The 18,833-nt window shown below is 46.4% G+C and overlaps 1 protein-coding gene and 1 pseudogene across 11 annotated transcripts in view, besides 3 other annotated features; one reads left to right on the top strand and one right to left on the bottom strand.

Annotated features, from left to right (window-relative positions):
• The window catches only part of LARP1 (La ribonucleoprotein 1, translational regulator), a 134,627-nt gene that overhangs the window by 91,260 nt on the left and 24,534 nt on the right, over positions 1–18,833 (bottom strand). For 4 of the 11 annotated variants that reach the window (NM_015315.6, NM_001367717.1, XM_047417042.1 and 1 more), the window contains exon 1: positions 13,216–13,503. The exons of 5 other annotated variants lie outside the window; for them this stretch is intronic. In NM_015315.6, the coding sequence (NP_056130.2) occupies positions 13,216–13,420 (205 nt within the window). In that variant the 5' untranslated portion in view covers positions 13,421–13,503. Of the gene's footprint in view, positions 1–8,503; positions 8,604–13,215; positions 13,504–18,833 lie in introns of those variants that run through there. 2 more of the 11 variants (XM_047417040.1, XM_047417041.1) reach the window with 2 other exon arrangements.
• Positions 7,657–7,962, top strand: RN7SL803P (RNA, 7SL, cytoplasmic 803, pseudogene; annotated as a pseudogene).
• Positions 10,591–10,760: an enhancer, noted in NCBI's record as "experimental_83490 CRE fragment used in MPRA reporter constructs". NCBI's record gives its function as "activates a minimal promoter by MPRAs in K562 erythroleukemia cells, with activity observed for the introgressed 5:154095231 or rs17116390 variant allele {active_cell/tissue: K562}" and the evidence as "EXISTENCE:reporter gene assay evidence [ECO:0000049][PMID:34662402]".
• Position 10,675: a transcriptional cis regulatory region, noted in NCBI's record as "Neanderthal adaptively introgressed variant 5:154095231 (GRCh37/hg19 assembly coordinates) or rs17116390 in the experimental_83490 CRE". NCBI's record gives its function as "modulates activity of the experimental_83490 enhancer by MPRAs in K562 erythroleukemia cells {active_cell/tissue: K562}" and the evidence as "EXISTENCE:reporter gene assay evidence [ECO:0000049][PMID:34662402]".
• Positions 13,412–13,958: an enhancer, noted in NCBI's record as "H3K27ac-H3K4me1 hESC enhancer chr5:154091948-154092494 (GRCh37/hg19 assembly coordinates)". NCBI's record gives its function as "activates a minimal SCP1, AML or CMV promoter by ChIP-STARR-seq in primed H9 embryonic stem cells {active_cell/tissue: H9 hESC(primed)}" and the evidence as "EXISTENCE:reporter gene assay evidence [ECO:0000049][PMID:30033119]".

The raw sequence follows: 18,833 nt of genomic DNA, 5'->3' as shown, positions 1-18,833 counted from the left end.
AGGAAAACCTGAGGCCCTGGATGGTATTATCTTCCTTCAGAAATATTTTAACTTTTGCTTCTACTAGGCATTTACACCTAAGTACTACAAGGGATTGAATTGATGGGGTGCTGGACTTCAGTTTTGTCAGGGCTGGTCTAATTCTAATTCACCTCTACTCCTAGGGTGTTGCCCTTTGGTAGCTCCAGCTGAAGACTTGAAATGTTGGCCAGGTGCGGTGGCTCACACCTGTAATCCCAGCACTGTGGAAGGCCAAGGTGGGCGGATCACTTGAGGTCAGGAGTTTGAGACCAGCCTGGGCAACATGGAGATAACCCGTCTCTACTAAAAATACAAAAATTAGCTGGTGTGGTGGCGGGAGCCTGTAATCCCAGCTACTCAAGAGGCCGAGGCAGGACAATCACTTGAACCTGGGAGGCAGAGGTTGCAGTGAGCCGAGATTGTACCACTGTACTCCAGCCTGGGTGACAGAGCGAGACTTCAACTCAAAAAAAAAGAAGAAGAAGAAGACCTGAAATATTTATTAGGGACACTCCTTCTTGGTAGATCCTGAAATCCAATTTTTATTCTATTCCCCAGCCTCATAACACTACCAGACTCTCTGCTCAGTTTCTTAGCCTTTTCTTGAGAAAGAGCATATCCCTTGCGCAGGAAAATAGTAAGTAAATATGGGGCTTCTTATCCCTCTGGAATCGTGACCCCTTAGGTCCTTGTTGCTTTGGTAGTTCTCTAATGCCTTCAAATACACAAATGCACACACACATTTATTTTGTTTAGCTTTTTTTTTTCTTCTTTTGAGACATAGTCTCACTCTGTCACCCAGGCTAGAGTGCAGTGGCATAATCATAGCTCACTGCAGCCTCAACCTTCTGAACTCAAGCAACCCTTCTACCTCAGCCTCCCAAGTAGCTGGAACTACAGATGCATGCCATCACACCTTTTTTTTTTTTTTTTTTTGAGACAGAGTCCCACTCTGTCACCCAGGCTGGAGTACAGGGGCACGATTTCAGCTTACTGCAACCTCCGCCTTCTAGGTTCAAGCAATTCTCTGCCTCAGCCTCCCAGGTAGCTGGGATTACAGGCGCCCGCCACCACACCAGGCTAATTTTTGTATTTTTAGTAGAGACGGGGTTTTACCATCTTGGCTAGGCTTGTCTTGAACTCCTGACCTCATGATCCACCCACCTCAGCCTCCCAAAGTGCTGGGATTACAGGTGTGAGCCACCGCATCCAGCCCACACCTGGCTAATTTTAAAGTTTTTTTGTAGAGACAAGGTCTCACTATATTGCCCAGGCTGGCCTCAGCCTCCCAAAGTATTGGGATTACAGGTGTGAGGCAACAGGGCTGGCTGTTTAGCTCTTTTAATAATTCCCAGTGGTGGCCAGGCGAGATGGCTCATGCCTGTAATCCCAGCCTTTGGGAGGCCAAGGTGGGCAGATCACTTGAGCTCAGGAGTTTGAGACCAGCTTGGGCAACATGACGAAACCCCATCTATACACAAAATGCAAAAATTAGCTGGGTATGGTGGCGTGCACCTGTAGTCTCAGCTACTTGGCAGGCTGAGGTGGGAGCATCACCTGAGCCTGGGAAGCTCAAGGCTGCAGTGAGCTATGATTGTGCCACTGCACTCCAGCCTGGGTGAGAGAGTGAGACCTTGTCCTAAAAAAAAAAAAAAAAATTCCCAGTGAAGTTGGGGAGCAGTCTTCTAGTCCATAATTACTGGAAATGGAAAGCCTTGTTTACCTAACATTTATCTTGCATTTTTCCATGGGCAGGATTACGCTTTATTTTTCTCTGTAGTGCCAGGGCCTCTTCCTTGCTTTAAGTTCTCAATAGACACCATTTAAACAAATGGATAACAGCTTGTAAATTGTTTTCACTTTTATAATCCAATGCTCTAGGCAGGGAAGGAATTACTTCTGTAGTCCTAGATATTGGACCCAGAGAAGACTTGCCTAAAAGTCCCTTGACTAAGGTCCACTGAAAAGTCAGCAGTCTAGCTGAGTCAGAGCTTTAGATTCCTCCTCCAGTAAAGAACAGATGATAATAACAGCAGCTACTCAAGATAGGGCTGCTGTAAAAATTCAATGAGGCAATGTGAATAAAGTGCTTGGCAGAGTAACTGGATCTGTAAATAGGAGTTATGGTTTAAGGAAGGATTAGTATAGTAAACAAGGTGCCTTATTCCAGCTTTCTTTCTACCAGTTTTAGGGTATCACAACAACCAGTGAAATCTCACCACCTTTCCCGTTCTGAGGGCTGGACACTCCACTCCTGGAAGATCATGGTTGCCTCTGGCAGGATTCAAAATACTCACTACAGTCTGAGAATGATCTTATACCCATGAAGGCAGGGTTGGGGGATAGCCCTCACTGCTTAGGGGTCCTCTGGACCCTACTGCCCCCTGCTGAAGGCCTCCCTAAAGCCTGGCAATCCAGAGTAGAGGGAGAATCAGTAGCCCTCATGCCAGGGGAGTGGGGCTGAAGGGCCCCATCTCTCTCCCCACTTGTTCCGCAACAAGTCCATATGGCAGAGTAATTAAGAGCACAGAATCCAAATAAAGACAGACCTGGGTTTCAATTCTGGCATACTACTTCCTGGTTGTGGGCTCTTGGCTAAGTCTCTTAATTTCCCTGACTCAGTTTCCTCATCTGTATAATGCAGTTGATAACAGCACCTACTTTTATAGAACTGTTTGAAAGATTAAATGAGACAAAATGGTACCTTTTATTTTTTCTCATTATTTTCCCCCCTAGAATATATGTCAGAAGGAAGTGGTACAGCCAGAACTAGAACCTGTATCTTCAAACTCTCCCTTTCTCCACCTTTGCCTATACCACCCCTAAAATAACTCATGTTTTAGGGTTTACACAGTGCTTCCCAACTTTCCCCATCCCAGTCCATGGTAATACTTGGATACCCGTGGGGCTAAACTTATGTGGAAGCTGTTTGAGGCCTGAAGGTGACTATCCCAGCAGGACCGTGGGCTCTGGCTGCCCCAGTCTCCACCTGGCCACTTATGGCCCAAGGGTTCTATATCTCAGCACACTTGTAACCCATCACTGTTCCCCAGCTGAAAACCTTAGGGTTAAGGCATTGACAACCCCTGTTAGAGCTGGCACTTGCAAATCCCAGCAGTGACACATTAACCCATTGTTGGTAAATCAGTCCTGGATCAGTTACTCAGACTCCTGGTGAGAGTCCAGAGGCCAGAGCCCAGAACATGAAAGTTGGGAAGAAAATCAGATGTTGGCTTTCGTTCAGGCTCTACCTCAACTCACTGTATGACCTTGGCCAAGTCACTTCCCTTCTCTGGACTTTACTTTTTTGTCTGAAGCAGAGAAGAGTTAAAACCTAGGAAAGAGGCTGGGTGTGCTGGCTCACGCCTGTAATCCCAGCACTCTGGGAGGCCGAGGTGGGTGGATCACCTGAGGTCAGGAGTTTGAGACCAGGCTGGCCAACATGATAAAACCCCATCCCTACTAAAAATACAAAAATTAGCTGGGCATGGTGGTACGCACCTGTAGTTCCAGCTACTCAGGAGACTGAGGCAGGAGAATCGCTTGAATCTGGGAGGCAGATGTTGCAGTGAGCTGAGATAGCGCCACTGCACTCCAGCCTGGGCGATAGAGTGAGACTCCGTCTCAAAAAAAAAAAAAAAAAAAACCTAGGAAAGATGCATGAGGTCCCTTTCACCTCTAACATTCTAAGAATGAGGGATTCTATGAATTCTCCACTGCCTGGCTATATCCTGTTCCTGGTGATCTGGTTCCTGTAAGTATAGAAATGGTAGACTCTTCCTGACTGTGCAGGTGACCTCTCCATGTGCTACCGGCTGGTCTCTGAAAATAACCCCTGTCTGGCCCAGAATGAGGGCAGGGTCACACCTGTTCTCTAACCTATCAACAGAACTCCTGAGTCCTGTGTGTGTTCAGTTTCCTCCTGCCCACCCACCAGCCTGGGGAGAGCAATATTCCCAGGCTCCTGAATCTCCTCTTCTCATAGCTCCCTGGTGTTGCACTATTGTCTAGGTAATGAAAAAGGCAGGGAGGGAAGACAGCAAAAGGAGTCCAGCAGCCTCCCTGCAGGAGGAGGTAGGGATGCTGGAAAAAGGGAGAGGGCGGGGAAGCTGAAGGCAGATCATGCGGAGTCTAGGTTGCCATATTCTGCAGGGGCTAGACTTGGCCTTGCACACAGTGAGGGGTCACTAAGGACTTTACAGTAGAAGAAAGACGTGGTCAGAACGTGTTTTGGCTCCATGGAAGGCAGCCTGAGGCACAGAGAGAAATTGGGGGCTGTTAGAGAAATGAAGGCCAAAGATAATGCCATAGCAGTGGAAACAGTGAAGAGGAGATATTTAGGAGGTAAGCTGGTAGACTGAGTGACTGGACGTTCAACCATAAATCTGACTGTGTCATTGTGCTGGGTGAATGGGATGATACTGTCATAGGATACAGGGAATATCTGGTTTGTCAGTATGGAGAGAAAGCATTCCAGGAGCATGGAGAAAAGAGTGCCAGGCCGTGGAGACAAATACATTACAACCCCTTTAACCGCAGCCTTATGTTCCTTACAGCCTTCTCTGGATTGGTTCTCTCAACACTTGTGCATTATCATCTCTGTCTTGCAAATGAGAAACTTGAGATGAGAAACTTTGCAAATGAGAAACCTTAGCAGCAGAACTAGGATGTTGAATTCCAGTTTCCTGACTCTTGGCCCAGCACTCAGCCACACAAGGTGCTTCCCTGCAGTGGCTGGCAGGAAGAGGTACAAGGAAGTTCACCTGTGCCCAGCTGCTTCCCAGCTCCTTTCCCTGGCCTCCCCTACACCCCCAAACCTGCCACCAAATGGTAACGGTAACGTAGGACCCCTTCACTTCTTTCAGCCTCGGCTTTCCTTTATGTCATATGAAGCTGTGGGTGGGGCCACATGAACGTTTTCAACATTCAAACAAACAGAGGAATCCCTGACACTTTTTTTTTTTTTTTTTTTTTTTTTGAGACGGAGTCTCGCTCTGTTGCCCAGGCTGGAGTGTAATGGTGCTATCATAGCTCACTGCAACCTCGACCTCCTAGGCTTAAGGGATCTTCCCACCTCAGCCTCTGGAGTAGCTGGGACTATAGACGTGCACCACCATGCCGGGCTAATCTATAAAATATATATTTTTAGAGACGAGGTTGCACTATGTTGCCCAGGCAAGTCTCCAACCCCTGGGATCTAGTGATCCTCCCACCTCAGCTTCCCAAAGAGCTGGGATTACAAGTGTGAACCACCGTGCCCAGCACCCCTCTTTTTTTTTTCTTTAAGACAATGGAATCATATGAATCACTGAAATGAACTCAAATAGAAAAGAACCTTCTCAAGCTGAAGCAGAGATTATGGATGCAGACTCAGAGGCTCTCTGATTGGATGGTTTTCCTGCTTGCTACCTCAACTCATCCACTGTTTGACAGCTTCCTTGACACTTCCAGAATCTTCAGGGTTCCGTAGCCCGCAGTTTGCAAACCACTGGCCCAGCAGACTCCTGCATGAACCTCCCAAAACAAAGGTTCTCAGCCTGGGTCCACAAATAGAATTCAGGGTATCTCTGAACTTGGAAGGAAAGAATTTTTTCTTCTCTTTTCTTTTTTCCCAAGACACGGTCTCTCTCTGTTGCCCAGGCTGGAGTGCAGTGGCACGATCTCAGCTCACTGCAGCCTCAAGCTCCTGGGCTCAAGTGATTCTCCCACCTCAGCTTCCTGAGCAGCTGGGACTGCAGACATGTGCCACCACACCTGGCTAATTTTTAAATTTTTAGAGATAGAGTTTCCCTATGTTGCTCAGGCTTGTCTCAAACTCTCAGGCTCAAGTGATCCTCCTACCTCAGCCTCCCAAGATGTTGGAATTACAGGTGTGAGCCACTACACCTAGCCTCTGTTTTCCAGTTATGAACCATTACAAACCACTCTATTTTCCCTAACCTGTAACTCAAGTCAGCATTTTGTTTAGTTATAAATGTAGGCAATGACCCACAGCAGTATTGGCAGTTCCTGTGACTGTGTCACCAAAAGAAATCACAGATATTTTAATATCACATTATGGTTGTTGCAGATCTTTCAAAAATACCATCTATGGTTAGTATTATTATTATTATTACTATTATTATTATTATTTTGAGACAGAGTCTCGCTCTGTTGCCCAGGCTGGAATGCAGTGGTGCGATCTCAGCTCACTGCAACCTCCGCCTTCCAGGTTCAAGCAATTCTCCTGCTTCAGTCTCCCAAGTAGCTGGGACTACAGGCACATGCCATCACGCCTGGCTAATTTTTGTATTTTAGTAGAGACGGGGTTTCACCTTGTTGCCCAGGCTGGTCGCAAACTCCTGAGGTCAGGCAATCCACCTGCCTCAGCCTCCCAAAGTGCTGGGATTATAGGCATAAGCCACCATGCCCGGCCAGTGTTACTTTAAAATTACCATAGTTATATCTTTTTTTTTTTTTTTTTGAGACAGAGTCTCACTTTGTCACCCAGGCTGGAGTGCAGTGGCACAATTTCGGCTCACTGCAACCTCTGCCTCCTGGCCTCAAGTGATTCTCATGCCTCAGGCTCCTGTGTAGCTGGGATTACAGGCATGTGCCACCGTGTCCAGCTAATTTTTATATTTTTAGTAGAGATGGGGTTTCACCATGTTGGTCAGGCTGGTCTCAAACTCCTGGCCTCATGTGATCCACCTACCTCGGCCTCCCAAAGTGCTGGAGTTACAGGCGTGAGCCACCACGCCTGGCTACAATAGTTATATCTGCCACTAGACTTCATTTTTAATGTACTAATAAAGAATCATATATTGCTATTGCAATTTCTTTTATTTTGATAGTTGTATTTCAGGATGATTGGTTTCCTTTGTCATCCTATGTATTTTAGGTATTTAAAAATATTCTGAGAAGGAGCCCATAGGTTTCGCAGATTGTCAAGGGATCCATGACATCAATAAGGTTAAAAACCCTTGTCCTAGGACTTCTCTTCCAGAAGAGAGGGAGCTGGGAGCTTGCTGAAGGCTGCCAAAAGAGGGTATGTAGGGCCTAGGATCCCCAGAGGCCCCTCTGCTTCGATGTGCACTCTCTGAACCTGAGGAAAATGAGACAGGAAACTGGGACAGGAGTAAAGGGACTCTGAGAAGTGGAGCAGAGGCCAATAGGCCAGGCTGGCAGGGCTCAGGCTAGGGGCACCGAACTGAATTTCTTAGCCCCTATCCCAGCCAGGCTTCCCAGGACTCCTAGGTCCTAATCTTGCTTCAGTCATTGCCCTTCCCAGCCTCAGTTTTCTTCTCTGAGCTAATACAGTGGGAGCAATCATGGCTTCAAGGTCAAGAGAGACCCTGCTTCTGGATCTACTTCTGCCTTGCCTTGCCACATGACTTTGGGCAAGTCATCACCCCTTCCCACACCAGCTTTCATATCTGTGTAAGAAGGAGATTGGCTGGCTCAAGGATAGCAAATTTCTAATATAGATACTGCCATTCCCCCTTGCCATGCCCACAACAGACATTGTTGAGAGATCTCAGAGTCTGATCATTCCATGCCCGTAGGTAGCTTCCAAGCCTTTTCAACACTCTACTTGTTGACTGGAATTGGCAAATGAAGTGGAGCCTATTTGCTATTACTGTACTAGATGATCTAGCTGGGCACAATGGCCTATGCCTCTGGTCCCAGCTACCTAGGAGGCTTAGGCAGGAGGATCACTTGAGTCCAAGAGTTCTGGGGTATAGCACAATATGCTAATCAGGTGTCTGTATTAAGTTTGGCATCAATGTGGTGACCTCCCTGGAGTGGGGGGCCACCAGGTTGCCTAAGGAGGGGTGAACTGGCCCAGGTTGGAAATGGAGCAGGTCAAAACTCCAGTGCTCCCATGCTGATCAGTAGTGGGATCATACCTGTGAATCGCCACTGCACTCCAGCCTGGGCAAAATAACAAGACCCCATCTCAAACAAATCAATGAACAAAAAAGAAAAGAGAGAAAGACAAAAGAATAGATGATAAGGCACCACCCACATTTCCATCTCTGATATTCTATGGCTTTAAAGATCTGATCTCAGAAACCCAAGTAAGATACTAGTTAGATGCAGAGACCTGTAAAGGTGTCTATTTCTGCTGGTGAGGTGGCTCTGCCTATAATCCCAGCAACTCAGGAGGCTGAGGCAAGAGGTTCATTTGACACGAGGAATTTGAGACCAGGCTGGGCAACAAAGTGAGACCCCGTTTCTACAAAAAAAAAAATTTTAAGTTAGCTGGGCATGGTGGCCTACACCTGTAGTCCCAGCTACTAGGGAGGCTGAGGTGGGAGGATTCCTTGAGCCCAGGATTTTGAGACTGCAGTGAGCTAAGAAGGTGCCACTGCACTGCAGCCTGGGTGACAGAGTGAAACACTGACTCTTAAAAAGAAAAAAGAAAATGAAAGGCTATTTCTAACCCATAGGTGTGTGTGTGTGTGTGTATATGTGTCAGAGAAAGAGAGAACATTCTCACCTGGGCTACACATTTTCTCTCATGTAGCAAAAATGGGGTCAGAATAGGACACCCAGATGCTGAAATCTCAGTAGAGCTCCTCAGGGTTCAATTAGGCCTCCTGGAACAGATGAGTGGAGGCACGTGGAAGTCAGACTTTTTGATCAAAGTATTGGGAATTGGCATCCTACCAGTACTGATATCACCAGGCCTTACCTGTCCCTAAATGTCCTGTGTTACAAAGAATAGCAGTGAAGTGATGGTGACAGAGAGTGAATAACACCAGTCACTTCTGGTATAATTTACATGGACTCAGATTAGCTAGGTAGCCAAGATGTGTTGGAGACTTGTGGTTTCTTGCAAAGCAATGCAGAAAGCCACTTAGGAAGTTATTTCAGAGTATGGCTAGCCCAGGTTACAGCAGAAACCCAAACAGGTGCCATAACTTACCTAATGTCACAGCCAGTTCAAGCCAGCACTAGGACCAGGGCCCAGCTATGTAAGTAAGGAGTAGAGTGCAATGCAGAGGTTGAATAACCACAGGCTTGTGGGGCCAGGCTGGCATCACAAATGAGAAAGTAGGCTGGGTAGAATAGTAGGGAATGGTAGGGACTGTAGCAAACTAGATGTCACAAGCCCTGTTTAAAAGCAGCAGCTCAAGTTGGTTGTTGGCATATGAGAATGTGGACATATAGTGCCAGATCTTTCTTCTGGTTTTTAAAGACATGTTAGACTCTAGATTTTTATATTAAATAGTCTGTCTCTCTCTCTCTCCTTTTTTTTCTTTTTCTTTTTTTTTTTTTGGAGACAGGGTCTCATTCTCTTACCCAGGCTGGAGTACAGCAGCTTGATCTTGGCTATCTGCAACCTCTACCTCCCTGGCTCAAGGAAATCCTCCTGCCTCAGCTCCTGAGTAGCTGGGACAACAGATGCACTCAATGACGCCCGGCTAATTTTTGAATTTTTTGTAGAGATCGGAGTTTGCCATGTCGCCCAGGTCAGTCTCAAACTCCTGGATTCAAGCAAGTTGCCTGCCTTAGCCCCGCAAAGTGCTGGGATTACAGGTGTGAGCTGCTGTGCCTGGCCAAATGATCTCATTTTAAAATGTTGCCATCAGCTGGGTGCAGTGGCTCACACCTGTAATCCCAACACTTTGGGAGGCCAAGGCAGGTGGATCACTTGAGGTCAAAAGTTGGAGACCAGCCTGGGCAACATGGTGAAACCCCATCTCTACTAAAAATACAAAAATTAGCCAGGTGTGGTGGTGCATGCTTGTAATCCCAGTTACTTGGGAGGCTGAGGCAGGAGGATCGCTTGAACCCTGGATGTGGAGGTTGCAGTGAGCCGAGATGGCTCCACTGCACTCCAGCCTGGGTGACAGAGTGATACTCTCTGTCTCAAAACAAAATAAAATGTTGGCATCTAACTTTTTAAACAGTAAAAGGCTGGGCATGGTGGCTTATGCCTGTAATCCTAGCACTTTGGGAGGCTGAGGCGGGCAGATCACCTGAGGTCAGGAATTCGAGACCAGCCTGGCCAACACGGCAAAACCCCATCTCTACTAAAAATACAAAAAAATAGCTGGGCGTGGTGGCGGGCGCCTGTAATCCCAGCTGCTACAGATGTTAAGGCACAAGAATCGCTTGAGCCCGGGAGGCAGAGGGTGCAGGGGGCTGAGATTGCACCATTCCACTTCAACCTGGGCAACAGAGCAAGACTCCATCTCAAAAAGAAACAAAAAATAGTAAAACACCACTGTGTAGGCCAAACAAAACACAACCGAGAACTGCAGTCTAGCCTGATTTGTAACTTCTGGTGGAAGGGGTAAGGGCCCCAGGCTCCAGATTTAGACATATAAAGACCTGATTCGGAGTTCTGCCACTGCTTGTCTGAGTAATTTTATTTAAGATTTGTAGCCTCCCTGAGCTTCAATACTCTCTCCTGTAAAATGGGAATAGTAAAATGGGCTACTGTGAGGATAAATAAGGTAATGACTTCAAAACATCTAGTAAAATTGTTAGCTCATCGTAGGTACGCAATAACTATAGCTACTCCACTAAAGTTCCTAATTGGAGGAATTCCCAATCCCTTCTGCTCCCTAGTCCATTCACTTCAAATCTATTTTTTCCCCAAGGTTTGGTCATTCGGTGTCCCTGGAACTCTAACTCAGATACCCAAGGCACTCAAAAAATATTCGCACACACCCCGCATTCACTCTTGGGAGGATTTTGAGATGCCAAGGCTGGTTACCAAGGAAAACGTTTAGGAGTCTTCCCTGGTGTTCAGCAGCAACGTTTCAGTGTTGGTTAAAAGACAGGCTTGGTCGGGCACGGTGGCTCATGCCTGTAATCCCAGCACTTTGAGAAGCCGAGGCGGGCAGATCACCTGAGGTCGGGAGTTCAAGAGCAGCCTGACCTACTAAAAATACAAAATGAGCTGAGCGTGGTGGCACATGCCTGTAATCCCAGCTACTCAGGAGGCTGAGGCAGGAGAATCGCTTGAACCCGGGAGGCGGAGGTTGCGGTGAGCCGAGATCAAGCCATTGCACTCCAGCCTGGGCAATAAGTGAAACTGACTCAAAAAAAAAAAAAAAAAAAAAGAGAGGCTTGCCCCAGAGCAGGGGACTGGCTAACATGACCCTTCAGGGGCCTTAAAATCTTCAACTTTAATTTCTTCTTTTTTTTGAGACAGAGTCTCGCTCTGTCGCCCAGGCTGGAGTGCAGTGTCGTGATCTCGGCTCACTGCAACCTCTGCCTCCCGGGTTCAAGCGATTCTCCTGCCTCAGCCTCCTGAGTAGCTGGGATTACAGGTGCCCACCACTCCGCCCAGCTAATTTTTTTGTATTTTTAGTAGAGACGGAGTTTCACCATGTTGGCCAAGCTGGTCTCAAACTCCTGACCTCATGATTTGCCTGCCTCAGCCTCCCAAAGTGCTAGGATTATAGGCGTGAGCCACCGCACCCGGCTTCATTTTTAATTTCATTAGCTCCTGTGCACATGCACACATGCGTATACGCACACAACGCTCACACACATTGTTACTCAAATACCTGCCTGAGTTCCCTATTCCTAGAAACTGTTTTGGCTTTCACTTTCACTCCACTCCTTCTACCATAGGCTCTACCCCGAGAGAGGGTGCTGCCACAACCCTTGAAACCAACATTCTCTGAGATTTATTTACTCAGCAGGGAGCTGCAGGAAAGGAGAGAACAGGGTGGCTGAAGCTCAAGTGACTGCACAGAAGGGGCTTTGAAAAGAAAAGTGACTTACACCCAGGGTCATCAGTAGGTCTTACAGTATATATTTGAGCCCAAGATCCTCTACTCCAACATGCCTGTTCTAACCATTGTATTATCCTGCTGCTTCCAATGGGGCCACATTCCAGGACTGGGTTCCCATCCCACGAGTCGTTAGAAAATACCATGACTCAGTGAGCTATTTCCCCTTTCTTTTTGTTTATATGATTGTACATTTCAAAAAGTCCCAGTAAATGGTATTTTTTTAAAGTAAAAGGATTTAAACAAGCAGCCACGATTCCATCATAATCAGTAATTCTTTTATCACATTAATTATTATCACACAGTGATTGGAGAAAATAATTACTACAGAGGCCGCATTTTACAAAACATTCATTACCTTACCTCATCAATCCCAAAATGTATTTTTAAATCTGAATTTATCTTAAAATCTGTGGAATCTAAGCTTCCATGGAACAGACTTTGTTTGGTCATAAGAACAATCCTGGTAGGCAAGCATTGCCCAGATTACAATCCCCATTTTGCAGCTGGGAAAACTGAGTTCAAAGAGGTAAACAATTTGCCTGAGGTCACAGAGCTAGTCAGTGCAGAACCAGAACTGCAGGCCTAGCTCCTGATTTTCAGCACAAGCGGTATCTACCATATATTCCTGGCCTCCAGGCCCTGTGTTCATACCTACCTGTTCCCATCACTCTCCTGGCCACACCCTAACAGAGGGCTGAGGGAGACCTCAGCTCCCCCAACCAGGCTTCCCTAGCCTCAGCCAGCTAGAGGTGGGGTAAACTCACTGTGGGGACTCCTGGGAGCAGTCTCTCCACATAGGAAATTTTTAAGTCCAAAGCTTTCACTTTCAAGAATGAACCCTGTGTGTGAGGCAGCACTGCAGAGACCAAAGCTCAGCTTGGGCGTGAAGGCAGGATTTTGCTGGTGTCCTTATAAACCCCATGCAAACTAGATCTAGGAGTTCCCCACCTGGGGACCCCATTCCCTGGAAATTACTCACAAATGCTCTATTTCTCATATTTCAAAAGGTCAAATGAAAATCAAATATCGACTCTAGATAAGATCTCACAGACAGAATAAAATACTACACTGCTTTTGGCTAAACCTGCATCAATTTAGTGGTTTGTGTCTGCTAACCAAAAAACACTGATTGGCTATTACAGGGCCACAATTCACATAGAAGAGGAAAACCAATTAACAAATTATTATGTAACAGGTGCAGCTGACAGACTTAAATCTTTCAGAACAAGGGGTGTGACAAGGGAAAACAATAGAAGAGGAAAGCTGAGAGTGGAATTTGAGCTCCTCATTTTCCCAGATGGGGAATGTGAGGTTCAGAGAGCTGGAGTGACTCGCTCAGGGTCACACAGCAGGGCTGGAACCAGCACCCAAGGTTTCTGCCCCTAGGGAGAAGGATCTTCCTACCACACCCTGCTGTCCTGAGGTTCAAGAAACGCAGAGTGCTAGGACTCACCAGGGTTGCTGAAGGGGGCCAGGACAGGGAATGGCAATGGCTTCTCCCTGTCACCTGTGGGCTCCTTCCTCGGGGCAGCTGCCAAGGCCACGCTGTTTTTCCTCCCTGGGAGTCTGCCAGGGCAGCTAGGTATGGGAGCCTCTTGGAAATCCAGCTCTGGGTGAGGGAAAGGAGGCCTCTTTGACAAAAGCACCCTCCAAAGCATGGAGTGACCAGGGCCTGGGGTCACTATGTGGCCCTGGAGGGTTTAGGTACATCCAGATCGCACAGCTGCCTCCTGGCTCTGGCCCGGGAGCTCTCCAGGTTGCCAGGCTAGTTTTCCTTCCAGACGCTGGGTGCCTTTAAGAGAGCGACGGCAGCTCATTGGCCGAGCAAGGCTACCCCACCTCTTTACCTTAGCGGGGAGCACAGCTAGGCTAGAGGCAGAGAGACTCAGGTGAGTAAACAAATGGTGGCAACCCGCTGAGTCTCCCCTCCTCCACAGCCCTGGTCCTGGGCTTCCTTCCTCACCTCCACTCTCCACCCTGGAAAACAAGCTGGGGCTAAAGGAAGAGCAAAACACTCTGCAAAGTGCTTAGTGCGGTTCAGACTACATGATCTCACAGTGACCCTGGGGCAGAGTTATTAGTACATCTTCTCTTTTCAGTGGAACAACTGAGTCCTTGGAGGGGTGAAGTGGCTTGTCCAGTTCACACAGCCCTTGCAAGGAAGGTCGACAGAGAGGGATGGTGTGAGGATCCAAACCCGAGTCTCCTGCTTTTGACTTCCCATACGGTTCTGTTGGACCACACCACTTTCCTGTTTGCAAAGCCTTTGGCAAGTCACTCACTGCCTCAGTTTCCACATCTGTAGCATGGTATAGTCATGCTAGTGATCCTCTACTCACTATAATGAGTATATAATCTTGGGTTTAAAGCTGAAAGAGACTTTGGAGATTATATAGCTCATCCAGTCATTTATCAGGCATTCATTATTCAAAAGGCATTATTATTCAGCAGCTATTATGTGTCAGGCTCTGTTTTAGTTCCTAGGGACATATCAATGAACAAGAAAGTCAAGAACCTTACTTTTATTGAGTTTACATTCTGGAGAGAGGGGATCTAGATATAAACAAGCCAATTAGATAAGTAATAGTTCCACAAAAATGAAATAGGTTGATATGATAAAGTAATGGAGGATGGATATTTTCAATGATGTGGTCAGGAGGCCCTCCCTAGGGAGGTGATATTAAAGCTGAGACATGAATGATGACAAGGAACGAGACATTGGAAGAGCTGGAGCAAGAGTGTTCAATGCACAGAGAACCAACCCCAAGTATAAGGTCCCCGAAGCAGGTACGTTTGGAGAACAGAAAGAAAGCTGCTGTCACTACAATATAGTCCAATCCCTGTACCCCCTCTTAATAGATAAGGAATTTTATCTATTCCTTATTTATTCCTGGAAGGTAATTCAAGAATTCAGAAAGATGATTCAACTTGCCCAAGATTCCCTCTTGTAAATTCCTCCTTCCTTTCTTTATCCTCATGTAGAAGACAAGGAAACTGAAGCTTTGGGGTGACCAGCATACTTGGGTTACCAACCCAACAATCATTCTGGTAGCCTACACTGCTATAATCTCATGCTTCTTCCACTCTGTAGACATATGTAAACTCCCAGACAGCAGGAACTATGATTTTAAGAGTGTACCACACTACCGGGTGCGGTGGCTCACGCCTGTAATCCCAACACTTTGGGAGGCTGAGGTGGGCGGATCACGAGGTCAGGAGTTCAAGAACAGCCTGACCAACATAGTGAAACCCCGTCTCTACTAAAAATACAAAAATAAGCCAGGTGTGGTGGCGCATGCCTGTAATCCCAGCTACTCAGGAGGCTGAGGCAGGAGAATCGCTTGAACCCGGGAGCTGGAGGTTGCAGTGAGCCAAGATCACACCACTGCACTCCAACCCAGGCGACAGAGTGAGACTCCATCTTAAAAAAAAAAAAAAAAAAGTACCACACTGAAGAACAAAATCCTGACACTGACGGAATATGTAGTAGTCTTCAAAATTCCAGCAGTAATGCAAACGGCCACACTGTCACATGGGGTCAGCACAGACCCTTCCTGTGGGGTTCCTTTCCACTTTCATTTTCAGAATTTTTTACTCTGATTTTTAAAAAGGGCTGCCTGTTTTCAGTCTCACATTGTTAGTAGTAGCTTTGGTATTATTCTGAGACTGTTGGATATACAGTATGTAATAAAGCAAGTGAGTTTGTTGGTATTGCTGAGAACCAGGACTTTTGGTGTGGGAGAAAAATACAAGTGAAAGACGAAAGGGGTTAAGTAAAAAATGCATAATCCTGTGTTTGTATTAGAGGTTTCAGTATGATTTTTTTTTTTTTTTTTTTTTTGAGATGGAGTCTCACTCTGTCGCCCAGGCTGGAGTGCTGTGCCGCGATCTTGGCTCACTGCAACTTCCACCTCCTGAGTTCAAGCGATTCTCCTGCCTCAGCCTCCTGAGTAGCTGGGATTATAGGTGCACGCCACCATGCCCGGCTAATTTTTTGAATTTTTAGTAGAGACAGGGTTTCACCATGTCGGTCAGGCTGGTCTCGAACTCCTGACCTCATGATCTGCCCACATTGGCCTCCCAAAGTGCTGGGATTACAGGTGTGAGCCACCGTGTCTGGCCTAAATTTTTTTTTTAACAGATAGGGTCTCACTATATTGACCAAGCTGGTTTTCAACTCCTGGGCTTAATCAATCCTCCCACCTCGGCCTTCCAAAGTACTGGGATTACAGGCATAAGCCACTGTGCCTGGCCTCTCAGTATGAATTTTTTATTTAGCCGATCTGAAAACAAATAAACTAAGTGAATTCCCTAGCTCTGTTTACTGTTTTCAGGTCTAGAAACAATGACCAATCCTTTAGTGCAGAGGTCCCCAACTCGCAGGCCATGGACTGGTACCAGTCTGTGGCCTGTTAGAAACTGGGCCCCACAGCAGGAGGTGAGCGGCGGGCAGCCACCAAAGCCTTGTCTGTATTTACAGCGGCTCCCCATCACTTGCATTACCCCCTGAGCTCCACCTCCTGTCAGATCAACGGCAGCATTAGATTCTCATAGAAGCCTGAACCCTATTGTGAACTGCATATGGCAGGGATCTAGGTTGTGCACTCCTTATGAGAACCTAATGCCTGATGATCTGGGGTAGAATTGAGGTGACGATGCTAGCACTGGGGAGCGGCTGCAAATACAGATTAACATTAGCAGAGAGGTTTGATTGCACAGAGACCATAATAAATCAGTTGCTTGCAGACTCATATCAAAACCCTATCAGTGAGTAGCAAGTGACAATTAAGCTGCATCTGGTGGCAGGCTTTAGGTCAGCATCTGACACTTATTTTAGTCCATACGTGGCCCGCTCATTATTTTATTTACTGCTTCCATCTGCGCCTCTTTCCCACACTGCACACTCGCCTTGGTCACAGTTTTGGTGAGCCCACAAGCTAACTCTAGCCAAAATGAGTAAAAAAAAAAAAAAAAAAAAAAAAAAATCTCACTGGAGAGCTTCTTTGAAAAGCCGGAAAGAACCAATGATGACAGAGCAGAAGACTCAGACTGCCACAAAAAGAAAGCTGCACTTAAAAGAAAATACCAAGAGTCCTACTTAAATTATGGGTTCATTGCAACACGTGATTCACATTCTCCAAGCCTGCTTTGTATAATATGTGGCGACTGGCTATCCAATGAAGCCATGAAACCTTCAAAACTGCTTCACCACATGGAGGCCAAGCACCCTGCATCAAAAGACAAGCTTTTGGAGTTTTCAAAAGAAAAGAATGTGAACATGAAGAGCAGAAGCAATTATTGAAGGCCACCACTTCATCAAATGTGTCTGCACTGAGAGCATCATTCTTAGTGGCTAACTGCATTGCTAAAGCTAAGAAGCCTTTACTATTGGTGAAGAGTTGATTCTGCCTGCTGCTAAGGACATTTGTCATGAACTTTTGGGAGAGGCTGCAGTTCAAAAGGTGACACGTGTTCCTCTTTTGGCTAGCACCACAACTGGACAAATTGATGAACTGGCAGAGGATATTGAGACACAATTGTTACAGAGGATTAATGAGTCACCGTGGTACGCAATCCAGGTTGACGAGTCTACCAATGTTGACAACAAGGCAACAATGCTTGTTTTATCCATAGAGAAATGCTGAAATGTCACCTGAACTTAACAACATTGTAGGCCAGGCGCAGTGGTTCACACCTGTAATCACAGCACTTTGGGAGGCTGAGGTGGGTGGATCTCCAGAGGTCGGAAGTTCGAGACCAGCCTGGCCAACATGGGGAAGCCCCGTCTCTATTAAAAATACAAAATTAGCTGGGTGTGGTGGTGCATGCCTATAATCCCAGCTACTCAGGAGGCTGAGGCAGGAGAATCGCTTGAACCCAGGAGGTGGAAGTTGTGGTGAGCCGAGATCACCATTGCACTCCAGCCTGGGCAACAAGAATGAAACTCTGTCTCAAAACAACAACAACAAAAAAAAACATTTTGCAGAACGTAATTAAAATGATCAGCCACATTATAGTACATGCCCTTAACTCACATCTGTTTGTGCAGCTCTGTGAGGAAATGGACACAGAGCACACATGTCTTCTCTTATACACAGATGTGAAATGGCTTTCTAAAGGTAGATCACTGGCCAGAGTTTCTGAGTTACAAGAGATTTCTTTTAGAAAAATAGTCACCACTGGCAGCATATGTCAGTGACACAGAATGGGTTGCAAAACTCGTGTGACATATTCAACCTGCTCAATGAACTCAATCTGTCACTTCAGGGGACAACGACCACTATGTTCAAGTTGGCAGATAAAGTGGCTGCATTCAAAGCCGAACTGGAATTATGGGGGCGACGAGTGAGCATTGGGATTTCTGATAGGTTTCAAGCATTAGCAGAGATTTTTGAAAGAAAGAGACTGAGCCAGTGCCTTCTTTCTCTCAGCTGGTGCATGATCACCTATCTCAGCTTTCAAAAGAGTTTGAGCATTACTTTTCAACCACAAAAGACCCCCGAACTGGGAAGGAATGGATCCGCGACCCATTTGTGAATAAGCCAAGTGACTTGACATTGTCCATGCTAGAAGCGGATCAACTGCTTGAGAGGGCAAATGACGGTGGCCTTAAAAGTATGTTTGGGACTTCAAATCTCCATACGTTCTGGATTAAAGTCAAGGCAGAATATCCTGAGACTGCCACAAAAGCACTGAAAAGCCTGCTTCCTTCTGTTTCCAACAGCATATCCTTGTGAAGCAGGGTTTTCTGCAGTGTCAGCAACCAAAACAAGATTACGGAGTAGACTGGACATAAGCAACCCACTTTGGGTGTCACTATCTCCCATCACCCCCAAATGGGACCGTCTAGTTGCAGAAAATTGAACATATTACAATATAATAATAATAGAAATAAAGTGCACAATAAATGTAATGTGCTTGAATCATCCTGAAACCATGCCCCCCCACCCCAGCTGTGGAAAAATTGTCTTCCACAAAACTGGTCCCTGGTGCCAAAAAGGTTAAGGACTGCTGCTTTAGCAAATAGTGAGCACTTATAGTGCCCAGACTGTGGTCTCTAAATACTATTTT

The sequence above is a fragment of the Homo sapiens genome, chromosome 5 (genome assembly GCF_000001405.40).
Source record: "Homo sapiens chromosome 5, GRCh38.p14 Primary Assembly".
NCBI lineage: Eukaryota > Metazoa > Chordata > Mammalia > Primates > Hominidae > Homo > Homo sapiens.
The sequence above is the reverse complement of the archived record's forward strand: the minus strand, read 5'-3'. Positions and strand labels throughout refer to the sequence as shown.